The sequence below is a fragment of the Homo sapiens genome, chromosome 10 (genome assembly GCF_000001405.40).
Source record: "Homo sapiens chromosome 10, GRCh38.p14 Primary Assembly".
NCBI classification, from domain to species: Eukaryota; Metazoa; Chordata; class Mammalia; order Primates; family Hominidae; genus Homo; species Homo sapiens.
This window is the reverse complement of record NC_000010.11, coordinates 47,391,212-47,418,488: the sequence shown is the minus strand read 5'-3', so window position 1 is coordinate 47,418,488 and position 27,277 is coordinate 47,391,212. Positions and strand designations below refer to the sequence as shown.

Here is a 27,277-nt window from a genome sequence, read left to right as displayed (position 1 = left end):
GAGCACTTAAGGGAGCACTTATTCTCCTGCCACATAGCTGCCAGAAACCACAAAGCAGCAGCAGGGTCAGGAGCAGGGCCGGCAGGACCTGGATGATTAGTGGGTTGCTAGTCCAGCCCTCTGGTTGACTTGCCTCCTGTGATGGACCAGTGTCCTATGACGGCAGATGGGTGCTCTCTGATGAACAAGTGGTCTGTGATGGACGGGTGCTCTGTGATAGATGGGTGGTGTGTGATTAATGGGTGCTTTGTGGTGAATGGGTGGTCTGTGGTGGATGGGTGGTGTGTGATGGACGGGTGGTTTGCGGTGAATGAGTGGTCTATGATGGATGGATGGTCTATGATGGATGGGTGGTCTGTGGTGGATGGGTGGTGTGTGATAGATGGCTGGTTTTTGGTGGAAGGGTGCTCTGTGATAGATGGATATTCTGTGGTGAATGGGTGGACTGTGGTGGATGGGTGGCCTGTGATGGATGGGTGGCCTGTGATGGATGGGGGCTCTGTGGTGGGCGAGTGGCCTGTGATGGATGGGTGCTCTGTGGTGAATGGGTGGCCTGTGATGGATGGCTGGCCTGTGGTGGATGGGTGCTCTGTGGTGAATGGGGGCTCTGTGGTGAATGGGGGCTCTGTGGTGAATGGGTGGCCTGTGATGGATGGGGGCTCTGTGGCAAATGGGTGGCCTGTGTTGAATGGCTGGCCTGTGATGGATGGCTGGCCTGTGATGGATGGATGTTCTGTGGTGAATGGGTGGCCTGTGATGGATGGCTGGCCTGTGATGGATGGGTGCTCTGTGGTGAACGATTGGCCTGTGATGGCTGGCCAGCCTGTGGTGGATGGGTGCTCTGTGGTGAATGGGTGGCCTGTGATGGATGGGTGTTCTGTGGTGAACGAGTGGCCTGTGATGGATGGCTGGCCTGTGGTGGATGGGTGCTCTGTGGTGAATGGGGGCTCTGTGGTGAATGGGTGGCCTGTGATGAATGATTGGCCTATGATGGATGGGGGCTCTGTGGTGAATGGGTGGCCTATGATGGATGGGGGCTCTGTGGCAAATGGGTGGCCTGTGTTGAATGGCTGGCCTGTGATGGATGGATGGCCTATGATGGATGGATGTTCTGTGGTGAATGGCTGGCCTGTGATGGCTGGCTGGCCTGTGATGGATGGGTGCTCTGTGGTGAACGATTGGCCTATGATGGCTGGCCAGCCTGTGGTGGATGGGTGCTCTGTGGTGAATGGATGGCCTGTGATGAATGGCTGGCCTGTGGTGGATGGGTACTCAGTGGTGAATGGCTGGCCTGTGATGGATGGGGGCACTGTAATGGATGGGTGCTCTGTGGTGAATGGCTGGCCTGTGATGAATGGCTGGCCTGTGGTGGATGGGTGCTCTGTGGTGAATGGGTGGCCTGTGATGAATGGTTGGCCTGTGGTGGATGGGTACTCAGTGGTGAATGGCTGGCCTGTGATGGATGGGGGCACTGTAATGGATGGGTGCTCTGTGGTGAATGGCTGGCCTGTGATGAATGGCTGGCCTGTGGTGGATGGGTGCTCTGTGGTGAATGGGTGGCCTGTGATGAATGGCTGGCCTGTGGTGGACGGGTGCTCTGTGGTGAATGGGTGGCCTGTGATGAATGGCTGGCCTGTGATGGATGGGTGCTCTGTGGTGAACGACTGGCCTGTGATGGCTGGCCGGCCTGTGGTGGATGGGTGCTCTGTGGTGAATGACTGGCCTGTGATGAATGGCTGGCCTGTGGTGGATGGGTGCTCTGTGGTGAATGGGTGGCCTATGATGAACGGCTGGCCTGTGGTGGATGGGTGCTCTGTGGTGAATGGGTGGCCTGTGATGGATGGGGGCACTGTAATGGATGGGTGCTCTGTGGTGAATGGCTGGCCTGTGATGAACGGCTGGCCTGTGGTGGATGGGTGCTCTGTGGTGAATGGGTGGCCTGTGATGGATGGTTGGCCAGTGACAGATGGGTGCTCTGTGGTGAATGGGTGGCCTGTGGTGAATGGCTGGCCTGTGATGGATGGGTGCTCTGTGGTGAATGGGTGGCCTGTGATGGACGGGTGTTCTGTGGTGGATGGTTGCTCTGTGGTGAATGGGGGCTCTATGGTGAAAAGGTGACCTATGGGGAATGGGTGGCCTGTGGGGAGTGGTTGGCCTGTGGTGGATGGGTGGCCTGTGATGGATGGGTGGCCTGTGATGAATGGGTGGCCTGTAGTGGACAGGTAGTCTGTGGTGGATGCATGTTCTGTGATGGATGGATGGCCTATGATGAATGGATGTTTTGTGATGGATGGGTGTTCTATGGTAAATTGGTGTTCTGTGGCGAATGGGTGGCCTGTGGTGGATGACTGTTCTGTGGTGGATGGGTGCTGTGTGGTGAATGGGTGGCCTGTGGTGGATGAGTGTTCTGTGGTGGATGGGTGATCTGTGGTGGATGAGTGTTCTGTGGTGGATGGGTGCTCTGTGGTAAATGGCTGGCCTGTGATGGATAGGTGGCCTGTGGTGGATGGGTGTTCTATAATGAATGGGTGCTCTGTGGTGGATGAGTGGCCTGTGGTGGACAAGTAGTCTGTGATGGATGCGTGTTCTGTGATGGATGGGTTGCCTGTGGTGGATGAGTGGTATGTGGTGGACTGGCACCCTGTAGGAGAAAGGTATTAACACGCACTACACCTGGTAGACAATGCGAATGTCAGTGGCCTGGGTGGCCTCTTCCCAGTGCCCACCATTTGGAGGCCCATCTGCCCACTCCTCATTCTCCCTAGCTGGTCCCTCCTCCATGTACCACAGTGAGGCTAGCAGTCAGGGCTGGTCCCCAGAGAGCTACAGACCCCTCCTTCGGTCCTGCTTAAAGGCTCTGCCCTAGAGCCCTGCCAAGAAAGTCCCAGAAGCTTCCTGGTCTCATGAACCTAGCCTCACTGAACACCTCGCTTGCAGCACAGGGCTTCTGTGAGGACCACAAAATCTACAGGTACAAAGACAGGTGAGGGTGGGGGTGCTGTGTCCAAGAGAGGTGCAGGCGCAGGAGCAGGGGCAGGAGACCCGGGTCCATCACCCACAGCCTCTCTCCCCACTTCCAGGCTCTGCACCGTGGGCACATCCGTGCACCGCTCTGAGCCTCAGCCTCCACACTTGTGCAAAGGGAATAAGCCGCCCTCCCTGGGGGCACTTGTGAGGTTTAGAGAGCTCAGAAAAAGGCCTGGCTCAGAACCAGGGCCACATGGGGTGTAAGCAACGGGAACTCTTCCCTGGGTGTTCTTCACAGTAAAGGGACTTTGGGCGGCAACCTTGGGAATGCAGGCTGCCCAGGGCTTCCCCAAATCCAGACTTCTGCTTAGAGAGAAGGCTAGGGAGGGAAGAGGAGAGAGCTCGTGCTGGGCCTGAGCCTGGCCTGTACGCCTAACAGCCTCCCCATCGGCAGCAGGAGAAGACATACTGCAGGGCTCAGTGAGGGAGCAGAGAGGGACAGCTCCGGGGCCCAAGCAGGTAGGAGGGTCAGAAAGGAGGCTGACAGCATCTGGGAAATGACAGCAGATGACCACCAGGCAGGCTCGGGCGACAGGGTTGTGAGTGGGTTTAGGATCATATCAGCAGCTGGGGCACCGGTTCAGCGGCACACGCATCCTGAAGGTAGTGCGTGGAATCCTCCAGATCCCCTGGACCTGAGAGGCCCACGTGGAGAAGGTGGAGACCCTAGAGGTCCTGGATTCTGGCTCCTGGCACACAGCCTCCAATCCTCATCCACCAGTGCCAGCTGGAACAGGATCAAGCAGGCCCAGGTGCCTGCTGCACACATTACTTTTCTGGGACTGCCTGGGAACTGTGTGCTCTTTCTGTCCTCCCCAGGGTGTATCTCATTCCAGTGCAGGGCCTCTGGACAGCCCAGGTTGGTGGCATCCCCACCCTGGTACTCACACAGGTGGTGCTCTTCATAGTGATGTCATTAGAAAGGACATTTCTGCCATTGTTCAGGCTGGCTTCAACAAAGACCTCCTTAAAGCACAGAAAGCGAAGATGGTGAGAGCCAGCCCGGAGAGATGCAGTTCTTGCCCTTGGTGAGTAGACAGCATGGGTAATGCTCTCATTCCCCAAAGCACTGAGGTCAACCTCAGCAACAATGGCCAAGGGGGATGTGGGTCCAGCAGCAAGGGGCCCTGCATGAGATTTCATGTCATTGTGACTGTGTCCTAAGTGACCACAAATGGCTGCTTGGTGTCAACCATTCTGGCTCTTCTGTATTTACAGAGTCCATTGGCTTAACTCTGAAAGGCGACCTGGAGCAACGGTACCATTCCTCGGGCAATCATCTCCTGCATCCTGCCCTCCTCACAGACCCTAGGACACTGCAGATCCCTAGGACACTGCAGATCCCTGAACACCTTGGGGGCCACCAACAAGGGAGGTGAGCAATGTGTTCTCAGCCCAGCCGCAGACACGTGCTGCCCCAGCAGGGGGGCATCCACATTCTGTACACCTCACAGTGCCCAGCTGTGACCCCTGGCCTCCTGCCCTCTAGAGCCTCCTGCCCTCTAGAGCCTCCTGCCAGGGATACTTACTGTCCAGGTTGTTTTTAATCTTTGGTCCAGGGCAAGTCATGAAAGTCTTGTCCATACTGATTGTTTTTTTTTCTAAAAGGAAATGACATGGGAAGAATGTCGATGCACATGTTCGTCCACTGTTCCTCCCACCTCCGGTCCTCATCACGCAGAGCGGACCCTGTGGTCCACGACTGGCATCTGGGCTCTGCTTTCCCATTGCAGAGACCCCTGTGAGCACCCGCCACGCCCAGGCCCTGTGCAGCACTCTGATGTGTAACAGGAAAGGCAGGCAGAGTCCCTGCTCTCAAGGACTCACCTTTAAGGACTGCATGGGAGACAGACAACAAAATTAAAAATAGAGAACAAAATAGATGGCAGAGTGCAACGTGCTGTGATGTCCATGAGCAGAGGGAAGGAGAGGCACAGAGAGAAAGGGACAGCCGCTTCGTCACAGGCGACCAGAAGCATTCGTGTGATGTTCCACAGTTTCTTCAATCCCATTTCATTTTCTTTTTCTTCCATCATATTTAAGCAAAATTAAATTTATTATGTTGTAGTTGAAAATGTTAATAGCACTTGTCTTTGGGTTTGGGATTTGGGGCAATGTTTTTATTCATTATGTTTTGTCTATGTTTCTTTTTTCTACATTGTATCATTTTTATAATAAAATATAATTAACACTTTAAAAATAATTGTACATATGTATAACAAAATATAATACTATAATTTTATAAATTAAAATTTCATGTATACATAAAATTACTTTCTATTGTTTTTCTCTTTTTCATGTAGGTCAGGGTTACTATGGACAAAATGACTCATTTCCACATGGAACAATTTGTTGACCTGAACACAATGGTCAGATTAGCCATGAATTTCTAAACTGTTGACCTCTTCCTTGGTGCTGATAAAGATAACGATCAGGAAACAGATTCACTTTGAGAGATGGAAAGAGTGGGATTACTGGGGTAAAAATCCCCAAGATGTGTGACCTGACTGCAGAATGGCATTCAGGAGAGCTCAGGGAGCTCCTGGGGAGGGCGGGTGGCACTGGCACCCTGAGGCCATGGCTCAGGGTCAAGATGGGCAGAGGGTCCAGCAACACCGGGCTGCTGGGAAAAGAGTTTTCAAATAGGTTAACCGATTAAACCCATACTTCAGTCACCATATTAAAAAATTTCTTAAATCACAAAAACATAGCCTATAAAGACAGAAAACATGAAGCATATAGAAACATCAAGCTTTGAATATGTCTTCTTGCTTCCCTATTTCTAAAATGTTTCTCGAATGTTTTCTTCAGAGGAAAATGTAATTAATGACAAAGTCACTCCTCAGTACATCCGAGCTCCCTGCAACAGGCAGCCATGCCCGGCCACTTCTGCAAAGGCACCAACCAGGAGCAGGGTGGCCATCTGCAGAGGTACCCAGGACTGTGGCATGGGCTTTCCTATGTGAGACCTGGTGCTGGCCCACATTGGAGAAAAAACTAGTGCCCTCCAGGAAACCAGTGCACCCACAGGCGGGCAGAGGAGGCATCTGAATGGACTTCCTGGGGGTAGGCAGGGCCATGCCTTCCCCAAAAACCATCATCTCAGGGACGCAGAAGGCCCCCACTGGGCAGATAGATCTCCTGGGTCTACTCTCCAGGTGTGTGGTGCTGGGAAGCTCTTCCATCACCCCTGCCCTGGCCATCCACCCATGCAAAGGAAATGCAGTAAGGCTGCTTTGAGAATTCATGGAGATATTGAGTGTGAGGCACTTGGCACAATATCTGATATGAGAAGCATTCAATACCCGGTAGCTCTCCTTAGGAGGGGGCTGCTCCATCCCTAAGCCACTCCCACGAAAGTATACGTCAGTGGAATCTTAATGGCCTGAGACCATCTACACAACTCTGCCACATGAGAATGTGACAATGACAGCCTCTTCCCCATTCTATATACTCAGGGACAGGAGGAGAGATGGCTGAGAAGCATCCTGCAGGGAGAGGAGTCATTCCAAGTTTACTAGATGACCCTGAATAAGAGGCCATTGAACATAACATGATCAGATGGAATGAATGTAACAAGGGGTCAAGAGGAAGAATTGAGGGGGATGCAGAAAATCCAACTGCACCCCGGGCACTCAGCGGGGAAGAGCACACTCGCTCAGGACCCAGGGCACATTGGCTGCCTAGACTGTGCGCTTCCTCAGGCCACTCCCCAATTGCAGAGGTCCCCGGATGCCTGAGTGTTGCCAAACAATAGGAGAGTTTAAAATATTATAAAGTCCATACTTGTGCCAGCTGCTCTACACAGGTGATCTTGCTTAGTTAGGTTGAGTATCCCTAATCTGAAAATTCAAAATCCAAAGTGCTCTAAAATCTGAAATTCTTTGAATGTCACCGTGATGCTCAAAGGAAAAGCTCATTGGATCATTTCAGATTTCAGAGGAGGCTACTTATCAATGACTTTGGCTTTGCTGAACTAGAATCTGCAAATAACTTGGTCCTGGCTCTTTGCATTATTAAAGTCATATCCGTGAATAATCACTTGCTTGGATTCTGCAAGAACAACACTCAAAAGTCTGAGTGAGGAAGAGTGGAGGGCTCTCTCCACTCTGACCTCCCTGCTCCTGGTGATCCATCCCCAAAACTGAATTCCCAGGGGGCTTCCCTACAAGGAAGTGGCTGTGTCTGAATGAACATCTGTGTGTCCACTGGACCAAATCCTCATCTGGTGTCACTGAGGGTCCACAAGGAGGTGGTTGGGCCTTGAGCCCACAGGAGGACTCCCACACCCTTCCTAATCCAAGGAACCCAGGAAAGGCACCCTGCCTCAGCCTCTGCACGGGGGCAGTTCAGCTGGAGCTTTCCACCCTGAAATCCTACAGTGCTCCCTCAGGCCACAGGGGTCAAGTCCTTGCAGTCCTGAGCAGTGTTGTAGGGCTGACAACTTACCAGAAGGGCAACAGGACACAGATAGAAGTCACCTGTGCTGGGGGTGGCGGTGGGGACTGGGACTCCCGCACACTGCTTGGTATGGCCTCCTGGACAGAAAAGCAACACTACTGAAGAACGTTTCACAAGTGTGTGCCCTTAATGCAACAATTCCACTTCTTGTCTCAATCCCAGGGAACTACTGAGCCACATGCACAGAGAGGTCTGAGGGGATTTTCTGGGGGCCATAGTAACATTCCACATCTTCACAGGGTCTGTGGTTACACAGATGTGTGTGCTCTTGTCAAAACTCATCAGATGACACACAAGATTTGTGCACTGCAAAAAGAGAACTTAATAAATATTGTTCCCTAGTTAAAGATATACGAACTGAAGGGTTTAGGGGTAAAGTACCCTGAGGACTGTAAAATATTTTGAATGCATCCAAAAATAAGATGAATTGGTGGAGAGAAAGAGAGACAGTGAGAGGAAGACATGCATAGAGACAGGATAAAGCAAGCATGGTCAAGCATTAATTAAAAATCCCCACGATGGAAACAGGCGTGTACATTGCACAATCCTTTCCGCTTGGCTGTAAAGTTTGAACATTTTAATAATGAAAGGTTAGAAGAAAAACAAAGAACTAAATAAGAAAATTATGTTTGGACACACACAACCAGAAGTCATGGTACATCCTGGGTGACAAGTGACTGATGAGAGGGACAGACCAAGCCCTTGGACTGCAGGAAGTCAGAGGGGCTGGTCATCAGGGAAGGCTTCCAGGACAAGGTGCCCTTCGAGCAGGGCTGCAAAGGGCAGGTGGGCTCGGCCTTTCAAGGTGAGGCAGGGCTTGCAGAGTGCCTATGCCCCACCTGGTCCCACCTCTGCACAGGGTGCCCAGAGCAGGGAGTGGCCCCTGGAGGGCCTCACTGCTCCAGGCTGGTCCTTAGCCCAGCAGAGGCCTCTGCCAGGCTGGATATGAGGCCCAGGGCTGAATGGGGGAGTCTGGGCTGCGTGCCTCCCTCCCTGGGCTCCTTCCTGGGCTCCCTGGAGTCCTCATGGCTTCTTGGTAGCAGCCTGCTGAGAGGGCTCATTCTGTTGCATTTGGGTTCCAGGCTCCTGCCTTGGCCTTTCCCTGCTGTGACTGTCACCTTCCATGTGGGGTGGCTTTGTACAATTGGCCAACAGCTGACAGGTCAGGGCCGTGACTGCCAGGCCACATGAGCAGAGGCAGAGGGCCGAGCTGGTGGGCAGAGGGCACCTGTCACCTCGACTCGGCTGCCTCCAGTGAGGGGTGACGACTCACATCCTCACCTGGGGTTGACAGGGCTGCTCAGATGCCACAGCCTGTGCATGTCCAGGGGACATCATCAGAGGAGCGCAGCTGTCACACTGCTGCACGGCTGAGTGGCTTTAAACCAGGAACAGCAGAAAGAGACCCCGAGGGGGAGGGGAGCTCTCTCTACTCCACCCCCATCCTCAGCTCTGCATGGGGGAGAGGCGGGGTCGGGGACAGACCCCAGGACCAATCATGGAAGTGTCAGCACAGCCCCTATTTCTGGGACCTGCCAGCTCGCAGCCCTGTGCCAGTCCCTGCACAGCCCAGTGCCCTGGGACTCACGACAGGCCTGACAGCGTCCTTTCTGTTCATGTGAGGCACCTCTGGAGCTCACTGGAATTGGACTATTTTCTCCTGGTCATGTGCCCGTGGAGAGCAGAGCTCAGACATGGACCATGTGTCTGTCCCCACAGCCTACTGCCAGGGTGCTCTGCAGTAAGGAACACGGATGCCAGAGCCCAGCTACTGGAGGGCCTGGTGGTCTTGCTAAGGGCCTCATGCTGTACCCCTGGAGGGAGGATGCCCAGGGCTCTATTCCTTTGCAGCAGCTGCAGTTGTACAAACGTCAGCCATTCAGAGCCCCAGCCTACACAGACAGAACTCAAGACAGACAGGGGTCATCACAGAGGCCCTCACAGGGCTGTCTCCACACATGCTGGGACCCTGGCTGGCAAGAGGACATTCTCTCCACATCCCAGACAGCAGGGATGGGTGCTGGGTTTTATCCTTTGGGGCCGAGGAGAACCAAGGGTGTTTGTGTGGATGGCTTTTTCTGGTTACGGAGGTTTCCTTTTGTTCCCAGGAACAGAAGGAGATGTTGACACCCCCACTTCTTGTTCCTCATCCCCCTGAGAAAATTGCCTGGTTCCTATTTCCCGTTTTGTTGATGTGGTAAATTACACAGATATTTCAGCTCCTACGCCTGCCTGGGATTCCTGAGATGAACCCTGACTGCTCCCGGCCTATGGGCCGGGTTAGCTGCTGTGCATGCCCACACCACATACACACAGATACAACACCCACACCACAAACACACTATACCACACACAACTAGCACACATATACCACAGACACAACATAAACATACTGTACCAGAAACATCCATGATCTAAACACCATATACATACCACACACACCACACACCATACGTGATGCACAACACACACTCACACAGCACATACACACGCACAAACACCACATGCATCCAAACGCAACTTCCACAGCACACACACCATACTGCGCACATTCACACACCATATACCCACTATAGCCAACACACACATCACAAAACACACCACACACGCCCTATGCCCACTATAGCCAACACACACACATCACAAAACACACCACACACGCCATATACCCACTATAGCCAACACACACACATCACAAAACACACCACACACGCCATATACCCGCTATAGCCAACACACACACATCACAAAACACACCACACACGCCATATACCCGCTATAGCCAACACACACACATCACAAAACACACCACACACGCCATATACCCGCTATAGCCAACACACACACATCACAAAACACACCACACACGCCCTATGCCCGCTATAGCCAACACACACACATCACAAAACACACCACACACGCCCTATGCCCGCTATAGCCATCACACACACATCACAAAACACACCACACATGCCCTATGCCCGCTATAGCCAACACACACACATCACAAAACACACCACACACGCCCTATGCCCGCTATAGCCAACACACACACATCACAAAACACACCACACACGCCCTATGCCCGCTATAGCCAACACACACACATCACAAAACACACCACACACGCCCTATGCCCGCTATAGCCAACACACACACATCACAAAACACACCACACACGCCATATACCCACTATAGCCAACATACACACATCACAAAACACACCACACACACCATATACCACACATGCAGCACATACCCTTCTTACTACAGCGGGGCCTCCTCAGTGCTCACCTCCTGCACACATAGTGGAGGCTCCACAGACTTCACCTCAAGACACCTTGTGTTCCGATCTGGAATAGAGAGCGAGGTACAAAGGGGCAGGGAGTGTGAGCCTCAGGGCACAGGAGCCAGGCCCCCACCACCTCTCCAATTGGCCCCACTCACTCTGTCCACTAGGCCATGCTGTTCAGAAACTCCATGACCCACTGCAAACATGCGGTCCAGGCTGTGGGCAATTGTTGTTATCTTCAGAGAGGGAACGTGGCTTGGACCCCCACCCAGGAGGTGAGGATGCAGCAGGTCACAGGCTCAGGGGACAGTGTCTTGCCCCCATGCTTTGGGGGCAGCAGAATGTCAGGCTGTCAGGGCCACAGCCTTCTCTAGCCAGCAGCCCACTATCAGGGAGTGGGGAACTCTTCCGCCCCCGCTTTTGGTGTGGTGGGATTTCTACAACACGCTGTCAGTCACTTCTGCAGTGGCCATGGGTTGGCCCAAATCACTTGGGGGCAAGTTAGATGACTGTCCTTGTGGTGGCCCTGGGAAAGCCGCCTGGGATGCCTTTCTCCACTCAGCTCCAGAGTGGTGCCTGGTTACTAGTTCAGAATGACCTGGCCTATCTTATAATCAGCCACACCCAGGGTGTAAACGGTGGCCCCCAGGCTCCCAGCCTTTCAGCCTAAGGGAAAGAAGGCATTGAGCATTAGTCATCAAAATAGGTGGAGCAAAATGCTGGTAACTGTGAACCCAGCTGGCTTCTTTGAGAGTCTCCTGAAATGCATTTGAAGGTATTGAGTATTAGTCATCAAAATGGGTGGAGCAAAATACTGGTAACTATGAACCTGACTGGCTTCTTTGAGAGTGTCCTGAAATGCATTTGGCACCTGTGCTCCACTGGTCATAGCAATAATCGTGCTGGTAACCTTGTTGTCTGCAGAAGAAGCAAGGAGTGACCTGCTCAGCAAAGGCATCAGGAGTGACCTCCAGAAGCTCCGGGACCCCTGCAGTTGGCTGGGCCCGCAGCACTGCTCATTCCAAGGCATGGCCAGGTGCCCCCACCTCATCCTCCAGGGGAGAGGCTGCCAAGACCCAAGCACCTGCCACCCAGAGACCCCTAGAGTGATGCGGGGCCTCAGCCTGGTACCCATTTTACAGAGGAGGGATGGAGAGGGGCAGGGCCCTTCCCATCACTCTGCCTGAACCCTCACCCACTAGCAGCCTGCACCACTTCTGCCTGAGGGCAGCTCCAGCCAGAGCTCCACAAGCACAGGCCTGTCCCACAGGCAGGGGGAGGAGCAGCCGGGCAGTCCCATGGGCAGAGCCTGCGGGCAGCCCTGCCAACATCTTTGGGCCCAGGAGTTCAGGACTCCAGGTCAGTGGCACCTGGGCAGGGGATCCCATGGCCACCTCAATGCCTTTCCCCACGAGCCCCGCCTCTTCCTGACAAGACCTGCAGCCCCACAGTGGGGAAGGGAGTCGGGGGCTGTGGACAGCCTTCTGTACCATCTGAGACACGATCAGGTGATGAAAGTCGCTTGAAGGGGACACGAGGAAGGGAGGAGGAAGACTAAGGTGTGTGCAAGGGGGCAAACCCCTTGGCTCTTCTCTTCCTTTTCACACAGCCCAGCTGGAGGGCAAGCACCAAAGGGTTATGAGCACCAGAACTGCACACGCAGGATCCCACACAGTTCTCAGAACTCCATGGAACGGGGGATTACTATGCTCATTGCACCTGGGAGGGCACCTGGAGCTCGGAGCAGGTGAGCAACTTGCTCCAAGAAGCAGGGCAGGAATCTGCACACAGAGCTCTCTGAGGCCCATTCCCAGCTCTGTTCACCCTATGGGACCACCATGGGGATAGCAGGAGGGCTTACCTCTGGAGTTGACACATTGAATCTACTAATTTGCTTGTAAGGAAATGAAGATGTTCTAAGAATGCACAGTGAGGCGACCCCAGTAATACCCTAAGAGCATGAGGAACTAGAACACATTCTGTGAGCTCTAGTGGTCTGTACCATTTTACCTCCTTCCTGCATGAATGTGTGTCCATGAGACTCAAGATCCTCTGTTAAGGTAAGATGTTCATGGATTGTTTTTCTGAGAAAAATAAAAAAAAAAAAAAGATTGAGGTGGAGAGGGATGGAATGTTACAAAACAGCTCCCGAGCTCTCCTGGAGCCATTGTCTACTGTGAAGACCTCCCTGAATGGAGGAGGGTGCCAGGCACATACCTTATCATGCTCATTCATCGCTGTGACTTTGACTAGAGATATTTTTGTTTTCTCTGTCTCTGATCTGGTAAGCATAGTGGGAGGGAGGGTGTGGGGTTAGGGGCTGCTTAGCTGGTACCCTGGGTATAGCCTCGCTTTCCCTGAGCTCATGCCTGTCTCAGGGCACTTAGACTTTGGAGAGCTCATAAAGGCCCAGCATGAACCCTCCATGGTGAAATGGGAGCATCCCATAGATGTGTGACTACAAATCAGGCCCTTCCAATGGGACCAGCTTTCTTAACCCTAACCCCTAACCCTTAACCCCTAACCCCTAACCCTAACCCTAATCCAAAGGCATGCAACTGAGATTCAGGGACAGGCAATGGGACTGGCATTCCTAATCTTAACTCTAATCCTAATCCTAAACCTAACCCTAAGGGCTTCCCTTGTGTTGGGCAACGTATCCTTCAAAAGGCAGGGCTGAGTTCGGAAAAGGCATCCTGCTAAGCCCCCAGCCCTGCACCCAGCACCCACAACTCCAGACCCCTGACCCTGACTCAATCTCCTCCACTCTCTTTATCCTACCAAAGTAGCAAATCTGCTTAATAAGAGTGCTATGGCTCCTTGACTTCCTGTGCTCCCGAAACCAAAAGACCAAAGGCTGAAAGAAGCGGCCCCAAAGGGTGTGCAGGCAGCTGAGCACGGCAGGCTGGCTCGGGGATGTGGCCTGTCAGCCTCTGTTAAAGCAGACAGGACTGGTTGGGCCAGGCAGAGCTGGCTCTGATGGCAGGACTGGGACAGGCTAATCCAATGTGACAGGCTGAGCCAGCACAGCAAGGCTGGGCCAAGCATGGACCCTGAAGGCTGGCTTCGCACTGCAGGAAGAGAGTCCCTGCCATGTGGGGGAGCTCTGAGAGCCTCAGCCCAGGAGGGAAGGAGGCCAGGCCCTGCCCAGCCCCTGCTGCCCCTCTGGGCCACCACCCAGAGTCCTTCCCCGTGAACTTGCTTTCTTCGCCCTCATGCCCACCTAGGTCTCCCTCTCCCAAACCCACAGCACATTATGCACAAACTCAAGCCTTCCCCCAGCTCAGGGAGCAGAAGCCCCGTCCCAGCTCTTCCTCAAAGCTGTAAGTGGGGCCCAGGCCCCCATCCAGTCCTCAGGATCCTCGGCTCTCTTCTGTGCTTCACCCTCTTAGTGCCCAGTTCCAGGCATTTGCATCAGAAGTGTTCTTACCTCCTGCCAATCAGGAGCTCTGCAGTGCCTCCTGCTGGGCCTGGGCACCCCTCTAGGCCAACTCCAGCTGCCTGAGCTTGCTCCTCCTGCCTTCCTCCAGCTCCCCAGCCTGGCCTGGGGCTCAGGACCCCACCCATGGTCTCCCCTGTCTGAGACCCACCAGGGGACCAAGCTCTTCTGCACTAAACTCTCCAGCACTCCCCCTTACCCTGACCCTGTCTCCCTCCCATAGAGAAGGCCAGAGCAGAGAGGGGCACACAGAGAGCAGCAGCCAGCACAGGCAGGTGTTCACAGGACACACACACCTGCCCACCAGCCCCCGCACTCTGGGGAAGGAGGTAGGGCAGAGGGAGGACAGGGGACAGAGAAGGTCAGGGAGGCCAAGAAATTCGGGAGCACAGGGGCTACAGGTAACAGTGCAACCAGGGGTCAGAGGGTTCAGGGGAACAGGCATTGGGGTCAGGGTGGGTACTGTGAGATGCCCTGAGCAGCCTGCCCTGTGTGCTGTCAGGCTCCCAACCAAGGTCTCAGGGAGCCCCACAGCTCTCTGGAGCTCCCTCTGGCCCAGCCTCTCAGGCCTCCGTTGGGGGCTCAAAGCAGCACTCCCCTGCCTGGGGTGAATGTGAGCTGTGGGACGATGCTGCCCTCCGTGGAGTAGGTGATGAAAGACAGCTACATTCTCAGGCTGGGGAGGAAGCACATGGCCCTGAGAAGCCAGAGGCACTGGCTGCACTGGACCCAAGCATAGCCAGGGCGGTGAGGCCCACTCCCCACCTCCCACCCCAACTCTTCCATCTTGGGGCCCCTTGCTGGACACAGGGAAGTGAGATAAATGCAGTGGACTCTGAGGCCTGTGGAGACGAGGGATCCACAAAAGAAAGTCAGGATGGCAACTTGCTGCATCCCCACAATCCCAACACACCCCAAAGAAACTCAAACTCACACACACCACGTACACATACACACACATGCACGCACACACATGCGCAAACATGCATGCATACCACACACACAGTCACACATGGACACACACACACACCCCCCATGCTGAACAAGTAGGGAGATGCACACACAGCCCTCCCAGCTGGCCTCCCTTCTACTGGAAAATTCTTTGCCTCTTCACCCCATTCCCTCCTCCCCCTCCTCTCCCTCATTCCTCCTTCATCCCAGAGGAGTGACTCATCCTATTGGCAGCCATGCACACAGCCTTCCTTTCCTCTCCCTGACCCTCCTTCCTGCCGGCTGGCCCTCAGTGGCCCTCAGCGACAGTGCTGCCATACATCCCCAGCGGAGCTCCCCATGGATCCTGCCCTTGTTGCCCATTCATTTTACCCACAGTCATCAGACTTTTCTTCCTTAAGTGCCACCTTGATCATCCCACTCCTCTGCTCAAGAGCCTTCTCTGGCTGTCTATGGCTCACAGCAGGAAATCTCAGCTCCTTGGCCTGGCATAATGAGCCCCTGTGGCTTTGGCCTCAAACTGACCTTCCCAGCCCTCTCCCAGCCCTGCCTGAGCTAACCTCATTAGCTCAGCAAGCTAAGCCAAGCAAGACCACTCACTCCACCACAGGTCCCCTGTGGTGGGAAATATTTCAAGTTTTGCAGGGAAAATGTGAGGCTTGTGAATTAAGTGTTTTGTCTTTTCCATCCTGCAAGACCCAGTTCAAAGACCCACATCCCTGGAAGCCACTCTTGACTTTGTCGTTAGGAGTTCCTGCTTTTTCCTTTAACCTTCCATGTGAGTTCTTTGTCCCTTTCCTTGAACCCTCGGCAGTGCATAACCCAGGGTTCCGGGACTGAGTCACTGATTTACCTACCTAATGTCCCTTCCCAGCCTGCGATGTCCCCAAGGGCAAACTTGGGGCTCAAGTATTCCCAGGGCTCACAGGCAGGAGCCAGCCAAGGCTGCCGAGATCCAATGGAACCAGTGAGCGCTGGCCTCATTCCTGTTTCAGAATGCCACTTTGTGCTCTGTGTCCCCCACCGAGGAACTCCCACGCCCACCCAATCTGATGGGTTGTGCTTTCTACCTGCCAGAGGAAAAGCTTCCTGCAGTGCAGGGAAGGCTGCAGCCTCACTTTACTTATTTCTCTGCAATCTCTTCTGTATTGCAGAGCCATAAAGGTCAAGGCAGGAATCCAGGCTGCTGGGCCTGAAAACAAAGGAGACCTGTGTTAGGGAGTTGAGGCGCATCTGTCTGGTGGGCAGGTGTCTGTCCACTCCAGCCTCCTAGCAGTCTCTTAACAAGCTCCCCCGACCCCAGCAGAGCTTTGGCTGGGGTACACCCCCAGCAACCACAGTGGATCATCTGGGTGGTGACTTTCATTAGGGTGACCACCCAGACCTGTCTGTCTGGGACCAACAGGCTTTCAGGGATGAGGTACATTTTTTGCTAATAGTTGACTATTACCATAGTCAGCTGACTAGGAGGATAGCTGACTGGTTACCTTAGCTGGGGGCCGTGTAGATAAGAACTGTGGGAGGATGTCCCAGCTGAAAAGCCCTGAGCAATTCTGATATGCTGGCTCTCCTTGCTCCCACTTACCCGGGGGGTTTATCCATCCCCAACCATCTGTGATTGGATAGGGCAGAGCTCTTGGGAATCACGGTCCATCAGACGCCCCTTGAGAACAACAGACCCAGACCTGGTCCATCATTCCTCTGTTGGACTCTTGGATTCTTGGACATCAGACCGGACCCTTCGGTTGGGGATCCTTCTGGCAGCCTGTGTGTGACCTGCTAACCCTATTCATGACACCTCCAGATCCTGCTCACTGTCCCACATTTCCCAGCACCCACAGAGGGAGGTAGTGACATTCCCTGTGGGAGCCTGGGCCTCAGGCAAGGGAGGATGTGCACTTTGGGCCATTTTGCCTCCCATATTTCTTATAAGCTTGCAAAGCCAAGCCGCTCTGGGCATGGAGAGCCTTCTCCAGCAGACACCACTGGGGAGGGAAGAAGCACACCTGGCCACTGCTGTCCTGGCGTCATCATTTCCCCAGCATCAGGGAGAGCCACATGCCCTTATTGTCCTGACTTCCAGATCTTACTGCTAATATTCTCCCACTTAGTCCCCAGACACAGAGTAAGGAGCTTGAAGGGGGTTGGAGCCTTGTGAGACTTCCATCTAGGTGGGGATCAATCACATCTGCCCTACCCGCCCAAGACGCAAAGGTCTTTGCAATCCCACAGCTCCATCGGTAGGTACAGCTTGGCAGAAATGGGAAATATTTCAAGTTTTGCAGGGAAAATGTGAGGCCTGTGAATTAAGTGTTTTGTCCAAGGTCCTGGAGATGGTATCAGTTAAAACTAAGGCTGGTGCCCTCATCTGAGTCCTTTCTCTGTATCTGTGTTGCTTTATGGTCTTTTGTGTATTATGTACTCAGGGGAGCCTACCAGGAGGCTCTTCTCCCCTCCAGCAATGACCATGTCTATAAATGTTTGCCTCCTGAACATCATGCTTGTATGTGGTAGTTCTCATGCATCCAAGAGCAGCCTTCTCCCCTCCACTGTTCCACTGCCTCCTCTAGCCTGCATCTAAATCTGCATACTGTATTATTTTCATTTTACAGATGAAAAACTTGAGGCTCTGAACGGTCAAGCAATTTGTCACAATTTCCATAGCTGTGAGGCGCGTCTGTCTGGTAGGCAGATGTCTGTTCTTCCTCACCTACTCCACTGGGACTGGGGTCAGGGGGGCTACTGACCCCACCATGGAGGATCCAGGCAGGGCCCTTCATAAGCTCTCCAAAGCCTGAGTGCCCTGAGACAAGCATGAGCTCAGAGAAAGCCTGGCCATACCCAGGGTACCAGCTAAGCAGCCCCTAGCCCCACAGCCTCCCTCCCACTGTGCTCACCAAGTGTGGGATCTGCACTCACAGCTTGCTGAGGCCCACACCCAGAGGCAGATGCACCAACAGAGGCAGGTAGTGACATTCCCTTGTGGGAACCTGGTCCTCCCTTGCCTGAGGATCAAGCTCCACAGGGAATGTCACTGCCTGCCTCCATTGGGGCAAAAGTAACTACAGTTTCAGACTGTGAATTTTAAATCATTATAACTAGGCTCAAAGACATCTTTATTAATCAAAACGGAAACCATTACAATCAACACATTTTTGCCAATGAGAAACAAATTTGTTTATTCCTGCAGTGTAAAAATCCATGCTTTGGGATTGGACAAACTCTTGGAAAGCATTTTCTGCATCCTGCTGGTTGTGAAATGATTTTCCCTGCAAAAAGTTGTCGAGATGCTCGAATAAGTGGTAGTTGGTTGGCAAGAAGTCAGGTGAATATGGCGGATGAGGCAAAACTCTGTAGTCCAATTCCTTCAACTTTGGAAGAGTTGGTTGTGTGATGTGCAGTCCAGCATTGTCATGGAGAATTGGGCCCTTTCTGTTGATCAATGCCAGCTGCAGGCATTGCAGTTTTTGGTGCATCTCAACCATGTGCTGAGCGTACTTCTTAGATGTAGCGGTTTTGCCAGAATTCAGAAAGCTATAGTGTATCAGACCAGCAGCAGACCACCAAACCATGACCATGACCTTTTTCTGGTACAAGTTTGCCTTTGGAAAGTGCTTTGGAGCTTATTCTTGGTCCAGCCACTGAGGTAGTCATCACTGGTTGTCATATGAATTCCACTTTTTGTCACACGTCACAAGCGGATTGAGAAATGATTCATTATTGTGTAGAATAAAAGAAGACGACACTTCAAAATGACAATTTTTTAAATTTTTGCTCAGCTCATGAGGCACCCACTTATTGAACTTTTTCACCATTCCAATTTGCTTCAAATGCCAAATGACTGCAGAACAGTTGACGCTGAATTCTTTTGCAACTTATCGCGTCATTGTAAGAAGATCAGCTTTGATAACTGCTCTCGGTTGTTGTCAACTTCCAATGGCCAGTCTCTATGTTCCTCATCTTCAAGCCTCTTGTCTCCTTTGCAAAATTTCTTGAACCACCACTACACTGTACATTCCTTAGAAGTTCCAGGGCCAAATGCATTGCTGATGTTGCAAGTTGTCTTGGCTGCTTTATGACCCAATTTGAACTCAAATAAGAAAATCACCCGAATTCGCTTTTTGTCTAACATCAGCTCCACAGTCTAAAATAAATATAAAATAAACAGCAAGTAATAAGTCATTAGCAAAAAACATAAAGTGAGAAATGCACATTAAAATGATATATAACATAACCATATTTATTTAAGAATGTATTCCAATATCAAACAGCAAATTTTAAAATGCAAAAATCAGAATTTCTTTTGCACCAACCTAATAGCATGGATCTGAACCCAGGTCTAGCTGCAAAACCATAATTTACCCATTGCACTTAGGGTGTCTAGGTGACACTGTGGTATCAAACGATACTGGAAAACAAAGCACTGGACTCTCAAAACTCATCCACAACACAGACTTTGCCCTTGGCAGCTCCCACACTAACATGTAAGACAACCCCTTTCCTAACTAATGATAACAGTTTCCAATTTCCTTCTCTTTACACTCTACTCTCTTTTTCCTTCAGCAAAAAGGGTCTTCCAGTGAAGGGTTATGGGGAGCAAGAATCTTCATTCCATTCACCCACTCTGGTAAAATTTCCAGTTTGAGATGATTTTGAAGAAGGGTCTACATTTTAGACCACAGAGGAAGCCAGTGCTCTTGGGTGGTGAAGGGCCACATGAACTGACATGTCCCCAGAAGGAGGAGAAGGAGGCAACATGGAAGAGTGCAAACTATGTGGGCTTCTGGCACACAGAGCTCTACTTATGATTTAGTGCCCCAGTCTTACATGAGAACAGAGAGACCAGGATCACCAAACATTTGAGAACACCTCTACCATTACAATTTGAGACCAAAACATCATAGTGATATAACCACATTGCAGAAATGGAAGTGGGTAGGATTGAATCCTGTAGGAAAACTCAGCTATGAGAAAGCTAAATACTCTTCCCCCATAGGAAGAAGTCAACAGAGAATATGTAAGCTGACAACAGCAAGAAACAGCAGTCAGTACAAGCATATTTTTAAAAACAAGGACATAAAACCAGAAGAAAAAGCTAAAACACTTGCAAGTGGCTGCTTCTGGGGAGTGAGATCAGAAGTGGGAAAGAGTCGAGCAGGAGCCTTGGGTTTTTTGTGTGTGTGTGTGAGCCTTCATAGAGTATTTGATATTTACATTTATCTTCAAGCTTTTCATTAATTAATGTAAAAATGAAATTACAAGCAAAAACTAGCAGCATGGAATGATGTCATCAAAATGGTGGCTTAAACACTCCAAGCCCCTGCTCCCCCATAGAAACATTGAAAGAAAAAAACAGAATCTGTGTGTGCCAACTTTTCAGGGACTCAGGCAAACAGTAATCAAAGATTTACTGCAATATACCAGGTGCCCAACTGAGAAAAAGCTACCTTCAAAATCACAGGAAAGTTTTGTGATGTTTTTGTGGGGGAAAGGAAGACAGATCAGACTGTTATTGTGTCTATGTAGAAAAAGGAAGACATAAGAAACTCCATTTTGATCTGTACTAAGAAAAATTGTTCTGCTTTGAGATGCTGTTAATCTGCAACCTTAGCCCCAACCCTGTGCTCACAGAAACATGTGCTGTATTGAATCAAGATTTAATGGAGTTAGGGCTGTGCAGGTTGTGCCTTGTTAACAATTTGTTTGCAGGCTGTATGCTTGGTAAAAGTCATTGCCATTCTCCATTCTCAATTAACCAGGGACACAATGCACTGTGGAAATCTGCAGGGACCTCTGCCCAAGAAAGCCTGGGTATTGTCCAGGTCTCCCCCCCACTGACACAGCCCAAGATACGGCCTCGTGGGAAGGGAAAGACCTTACAGTCCCCTAGCCCGACACTCGTAAAGGGTCTGTGCTGAGGAGAATTAGTGAAAGAGGAAGGCCTCTTTGCAGTTGAGATAAAAACTCTCCTGTTTGTCCCTGGGAATGAAATGTCTCGGTGTAAAGCCCGACCATATATTCTATTTACTGAGGTAGGAGAAAACTGCCCTATGGCTGGAGGTGAGACATGCTGGCAGCAATACTGCCCTGCTACTCTTTACTGCACTGAGATGTTTGTGTAAAGTTAAACATAAATCTGGCCTACATGCATATCCAGGCACAGTAACTTTCCTTAAACTTATTTATGACACAGATTCCTTTGCTCATATGTTTTCCTACTGACCCTCTCCCCACCATTACCCTATAGTCCTGCCACATCTCCCTCACCGAGATAGTAAAGATAGTGATCAATAAATACTGAGGAAACTCAGAGACCGGTGCTGGTGCAGGTCCTCACTTGCTGAACACTTGTCCCCTGGGCCCACTTTTCTTCCTCTATACTTTGTCTCTGTGCCTTATTTCTTTTCTCAGTCTCTCATCTCCTCCTTGTGAGAAATACCCTCAGGTGTGGAGGGGCAGGCCCCCTTCACTTTTCACATATCCTTTCTGCAACACTTTCACAGCATATTGGCAGTTTTGGTCTTGAGCAGTGACCCAGTTCCAAGTGATTGTCTATGAACTAGAGGGAGCAGCGTAGCTCTTACTTGCACATTTCTGTGTATATCTGTTCTAACCTGGCTGGAGGACACCCAAAAGACTAGCTCCCTCTACTCTATCTCATATAGCTCAGTCAGAACACATCTAGAAAATGTGGTAAGCACTTCTTGTAAAAGTGATGACAAATCTACAGGGGACAAAAAGCCCCATAGATGCCTGAGGCAAGAGAGTTTGGGTGAATACACAATAGACCATCAAAGGCCCCCAGGAGAAGCTAGGTGTGACTCTTTGGGAACTAGGATGTTTAGGATAAGCTGTGTACACAGGGGAATTTAGAAAGTCATGGACATGCCCAGGCAAGATATGTGCTCAGAGAAGTCCACACTTTAAGCTTTCCATAGACTTAGAGCAAGTCTAGTTAAGTTGTGAAGGAGTGCCCAGAACAAAACCAATCTGCAAAGACAGGAATGTGGCTGCTCTTTCTGTTAAATTTTTTAGTGGTTTTCCTTTTGTCTTAGCTCCTGGCATTCAAAGAAATCTGTCAAAACATCACCTGAACATGAACTACAGAAGGAAAAATTTCAGTGATCCTACACAACCAGGAATGGCCTTTGTAAAAATAGTCTGAAAAATTTTCAAAATGAACAAACTACTACAGGATTTTACAATTAAAAAACAAAAAACAAAAACAAAAATAATCCATTAACTTATGGGGAAGTGGGGGGGGATATAATTTATAGAGTTACTACATTATAATAATCAAACACCCAACTTTCAACAACAACAAAAACAAAATAAAAAACACAAGACTTAAAAAGAAACAGAAAAACATAGCTCATTCAAAGGAACTAAATAAATGGACAAAAACTGCCCCCAAAGAAGCCAATATTTTAGACATACTGGACAAAGACTTAAAATATCTATCTTAGATATGCTCAAAGAGGTGAGGAAAAACAAGAAGAAAGAAATAAAGAGGCTTGGCATGGTGGCTCACACCTATAATCAATCAAGATGGGAGAATCGTTAATTGCAGGAGTTTGAGATCACCCTGGGCAACATAGTGAGGTCCATCTCTAATTAAAATAAATAAATAACTGGGTTTGGTGGTGCATCCCTCTAGCCCCAGCTACTTGGGAGGCTGAGGTGGGAGGATTGCTTGAGCCTGGGAGGTTGAGGCTGCAGTGAACCATGATCATGCCACTGCATTTCAGCCTGGGAGACAGAATGAGACTTTCTCTGAACAAGCAAACAAACAAAAAAGAAAGAAAAGAGAAATAAAGGAAATCAGGAATTACTGATTTGTTTAAAGAACTGAAATAAAAAAGCTATTAACAAAGAATTCCATGTTCTGCAATACTGTCTTCTAAAAATAAGGAATATATTTGAGGCATTAACAAATAAAAGCCGAGGGACTTCATTACCACTTGTCTTATAAGAAATGCTAAAGGGAATCTTTCAGGTGAAAATTCAAGGGCACTAGACAATAGCTGGAAGCCATATGAACATAGGTTTCTGGTAAAAATAAATACATGAGAAAATATAAAAGTCAGTAATATTGTAATCTCGGCTTGTATCTCTATTATTTTTCTATAGAATTTAAAAGGCAAATGCACAAAAATCATTATAAATCTGTTATTGGGCACACAAAACCTTGATAAAGAGGGGCACAAAGCTGTACAGGGGCACAAAGCTATACTCAACTCTGCTGTTTACAATTAAAGTTAAGTTAAAGTTGATAGCAACTCAAATTAGATAGTTATAACTTTAGGATGTTACATGTAATCACACGTAATAAAAAAGGAAATATCTATAATATGATATAATACAATATACACAAAAGGAAATAAGCAAGGTATCAAAATGTGTCATTGCAAAAAATTACCTAAACACAACTGAAGACAGAAATGGAGAAAATGAGGAACAAAAAATCTAGAAGATATACAGAGAACGAATATAAAATGACATAAGTAAGTTCTTCCCTATCAGTAATTCATGCTCCATCTACATGCTGTCAAGAGACTCATTTCAGATCTAAAAGCACAAATATGTTGAAAATTAAAGGATGGAAAAAGACATTACATGCAAATGAAGACCAAAAGGGAGTGAGGATGCTCACAGTAATATTAGACAAAATGGAATTTAAGTTAAAAGATACTGGCATAAGAGACAAAGAAAGACTGATATTAATAAAAGGGTCAATTCACTAAGAAGATAAAACAACTATAAACAGATATGTACCAAAAATCAGAGCTATGAAATTTATTAAACAAACATTGACAGAATTAAAGGGAGAAATAGGAAGACTTACGTTAATAGCTGGAGACTTCAGTACCCTACTTTAATCAGGTATAGAATCAGACAGAATGTAAGAAAAGATAGAAACAAGAAAATAGAGGACTTGAACATCTCTTTTAACTGAGTGTACCTAACACACATATACAAAACCCTCTGCTCAAAGATAGCAGAATACATGTTTTTCTCAAGTGCACATGGGATATTCTCCAGGATAGATCACATGTTAGGCCACAAAACAAGTCTTAAAAAATCTAGAAAGTTTTAAATCATACAGAACACTTTTTCCAATCACAATGTAATAAACTAGAAATCAATACCAGAGGGAAAACTAAAAAATTCACCAATATGTGGAAATTAAACAAAATGCTCTCAAATAAACAATAGGACAAAGAAGAAATCACAAAGAATATTAGAAAATACAAATGTTTCTTGGCATACAATTGGGGTATATCCCATTAAACCCACTGCTAATTCGAAAAGTCATTAATGGAACAATCATAAGTTAGGGACAGTCTGTACCTTGAGATTAATGACTATGAAAACACAACATACTAAAACTTATGAGATGCAAGGAAAGCAGTGCTAAGAGGGTAATTTATAACTCTAAATGAATAAGTTAGAAAAGCTCTTCAATCAATAAACTGACTTTACATCTTATGTAACTAGAAAACCAAAAGAAAATTATACCCAAAAATAGCAAAGGAAAAAAAAAGATTACAGCAGAGATAAATGAAAAAGAGAACAGAAAAATAGAGAATATCAATGAAACCAAAAGTTTGTGTGTTTTTTTTTTTGGAAAAATCAACAAAATTGACAAACTTCTTTCTTGGATGACTTAGAATAAAAGAAGGATTACTCAAATTACTAAAATCAGAAAATGAGAGTGGGACTATGACTACCAATTTAACAGAAATAAAAAAGATTATAAGCACATAAAATGAACATCTGTACACCAACAAGTGGAATTAAATAGATAAAATGTTTTTTATGAATTTGGGTGTTCTTAAGAATCTGGGTGCTCATGAAGAATATTTTGCTCTTTATGAATCTGGGTGCTCATAAAGAATATGATTTGATTTTGATAGACTGTGTGTTTCTAGGAATTATCCCATTTCATCTATTTAATTCTATTTGTTGGTGTTCAGATGTTCCTAGTATGTCATTATAAAATTTTTCATTACTGTTAAACTGGTAGTCATTTTCCCACTCTCATTTTCCCACTCTCATTTTCAGAAATAAGACTGCACACCTACAACCATCTGATCTTCAACAAAACTGTCAAAAACAAGCAAAGGGGAATAAATTCCCTATTTAATAAACATTGCTGGGATAGCTGGCTAACCATATGCAGAAAATTGAAACTGGACCCCTTTCTTACACCTTATACAAAAATTAATCAAGATGGATTAAATACTTAAATGTAAAACCCAAAACTCTAGAAGAAAATCTAGGCAATACCACTTGGACATAGGCACGGGCAAAGATTTCATGATGAAAACATCAAAAATAATTGCAACAGAAGAAACACTTGACAAAAGAAGCTATCATCAGAGTGAACAGACAACCTGCAGAATGGGAGAAAATTTTTGCAATCTATCCATCTGACAAAGGTTAAATATCCAGAGTCCACAAGGAACTTAAACAAATTTACAAGAAAAAAACAACCCCATTAAAAAGTGGGCAAAGGACATGAACAGACACTTCTCAAGAGAAGACATTCATGCAGCCAACAAACATATGAAAAAAAGCTCAACATCACTGATCATTAGAGAAATGCAAATCGAAACCACAGTGAGATACTATCTCATGCCAGTCAGAATGGCAATTATTTAAAAGTCAAAAAACAACAGATGCTGGTGACGTTGCAGAGAAAAAGAAATGTTTTTACACTGTTGATGGGAGTGTAAATTAGTTCAACCATTGTGGAAGGCAGTGTGGTGATACCTCAAAGACCTAAAGGCAGAAATACCATTTGACCCAGCAATACCGTTACTGACTGTATGCCCAAAGGTATATAAATCATTCTACTTTAAAGATACATGCATGTGTATGTTCATTGCAGCACTATTCACAATAACAAAGGCATGAAATCATCCTAAATGCTTATCAACGATAGACTGGAAAAAGAAAATGTGGTACATATACACCATGGAATAATATGTTGCCATAAAAACGAATGAGATCATGTCCTTTGCAGGGACATGGATGGAATTGGAAGCTATTATCCTTAGCAAACTAATGCAGGAACAGAAAACTAAACACCACATGTTCTCACTCATAAGTGGGAGCTGAATGATAAGAACACATGGACACATGAGGGTGAACAACACACACTGGGGCGTGTTGGAGGGAGAGCATCAGGAAGAATAGCTCATGGATGCTGGGGTTACTACCTAGGTGTTGGGATGATCTGTGCAGCAAACTACCACGGCATACGTTTACCTATGTAACAAACCTGCACATCCTGCATGTGTACCCCGGAACTTAAAATAAAAGTTGATGAAAAATAAAAAAATTTAAAAAATTGTGAAGAAATAGAAAATCCGAACAGACCTATAATAGTAAGGAGATTGAATTAGTTATAAAAACCTCTCAACAAAGAAAAGTCCAGGACCAGATGGCTTCATTGGTAAATTCTGCCAAATATGTAAGGAAAAATCCTTTGCAAACTCTTCCAAAAATCTGTAGGTGATGGAACACTTCTAAACGAAATCTATAAAGGCCAGCACTGCACTGATACAAAAGCCAGACAAAGACACTGTAAGAAAACTATACACCAAAATCCCTTATCAATATTAGTGCAAAAATCCTCAACAAAATACTGCAAACTGAATTCCACAGTTTATTAAAAGATTTTTATATCCCCAAAGAATGAGATTTATTTCCATAATTTAAAAATGATTCAACATTAAAAAATCAGTATTATACACTTCATTAGTAGAATTAAGACAACTACATGATCTCCATTGATAAAGTATTTGATAACATTCAATACCTGTTTTGATTAAGACACTCAAATTAAAAATAAAGTTCTTCAACATGAAAAAGGACATATACGAAAACACACAGCTAAAATACTCAATGCTGAAAGATAAAAAATGTTTCCCCTAAGATCAAGAGCAATACAAGGATGTCCATTTTCATTGTGTCCATTCAACATAGTATGGAAATTCAAGCCAGAGCAATTAGGCAGGAAATAAAAATAAAAGGCATCCAAATTGCAAAGAAGAGGCAAAATTGTCCCTATTTATGAATGATATGATCTTACTTGTAAA

General features: G+C 48.2%; 1 protein-coding gene and 2 long non-coding RNA genes across 3 annotated transcripts, besides 3 other annotated features; 2 read left to right on the top strand and 1 right to left on the bottom strand.

Moving 5' to 3' along the window:
- Positions 1 to 33: 33 nt before the first annotated feature.
- LOC124902420 (uncharacterized) lies at positions 34 to 2,389 on the top strand. The gene has a single exon (XM_047426116.1). The coding sequence runs from the start codon at positions 142 to 144 to the stop codon at positions 2,116 to 2,118; it is 1,977 nt and encodes a 658-aa protein (XP_047282072.1). The 5' UTR covers positions 34 to 141; the 3' UTR covers positions 2,119 to 2,389.
- Positions 3,262 to 3,762: an enhancer, noted in NCBI's record as "H3K4me1 hESC enhancer chr10:48324135-48324635 (GRCh37/hg19 assembly coordinates)". NCBI's record gives its function as "activates a minimal SCP1, AML or CMV promoter by ChIP-STARR-seq in naive and primed H9 embryonic stem cells {active_cell/tissue: H9 hESC(naive and primed)}" and the evidence as "EXISTENCE:reporter gene assay evidence [ECO:0000049][PMID:30033119]".
- Positions 3,262 to 4,805: a biological region, named in NCBI's record as "BRD4-independent group 4 enhancer GRCh37_chr10:48324479-48325678".
- Positions 3,606 to 4,805: an enhancer, noted in NCBI's record as "BRD4-independent group 4 enhancer chr10:48324479-48325678 (GRCh37/hg19 assembly coordinates)". NCBI's record gives its function as "activates an origin of replication core promoter dependent on BRD2, P300/CBP, MED14 and CDK7 cofactors, and independent of BRD4, by STARR-seq in HCT116 cells {active_cell/tissue: HCT116}" and the evidence as "EXISTENCE:reporter gene assay evidence [ECO:0000049][PMID:35650434]".
- LOC107001062 (uncharacterized) lies at positions 3,915 to 11,324 on the bottom strand. Its single transcript, NR_134500.1, has 4 exons — positions 10,936 to 11,324; positions 10,783 to 10,841; positions 4,557 to 4,628; positions 3,915 to 3,993 (listed from the first exon to the last, which is right to left on the bottom strand). It is a non-coding gene; the product is annotated as an uncharacterized LOC107001062 (long non-coding RNA).
- LINC03029 (long intergenic non-protein coding RNA 3029) lies at positions 4,014 to 5,102 on the top strand. Its single transcript, NR_134499.1, has 3 exons — positions 4,014 to 4,055; positions 4,246 to 4,402; positions 4,636 to 5,102. It is a non-coding gene; the product is annotated as a long intergenic non-protein coding RNA 3029 (long non-coding RNA).
- Positions 11,325 to 27,277: the final 15,953 nt, after the last annotated feature.

Excerpts from the sequence above, each read along its gene's own strand:
- LOC124902420 (XM_047426116.1), top strand. The coding sequence starts at position 142 with ATGGACCAGTGTCCTATGACGGCAGATGGGTGCTCTCTGATGAACAAG.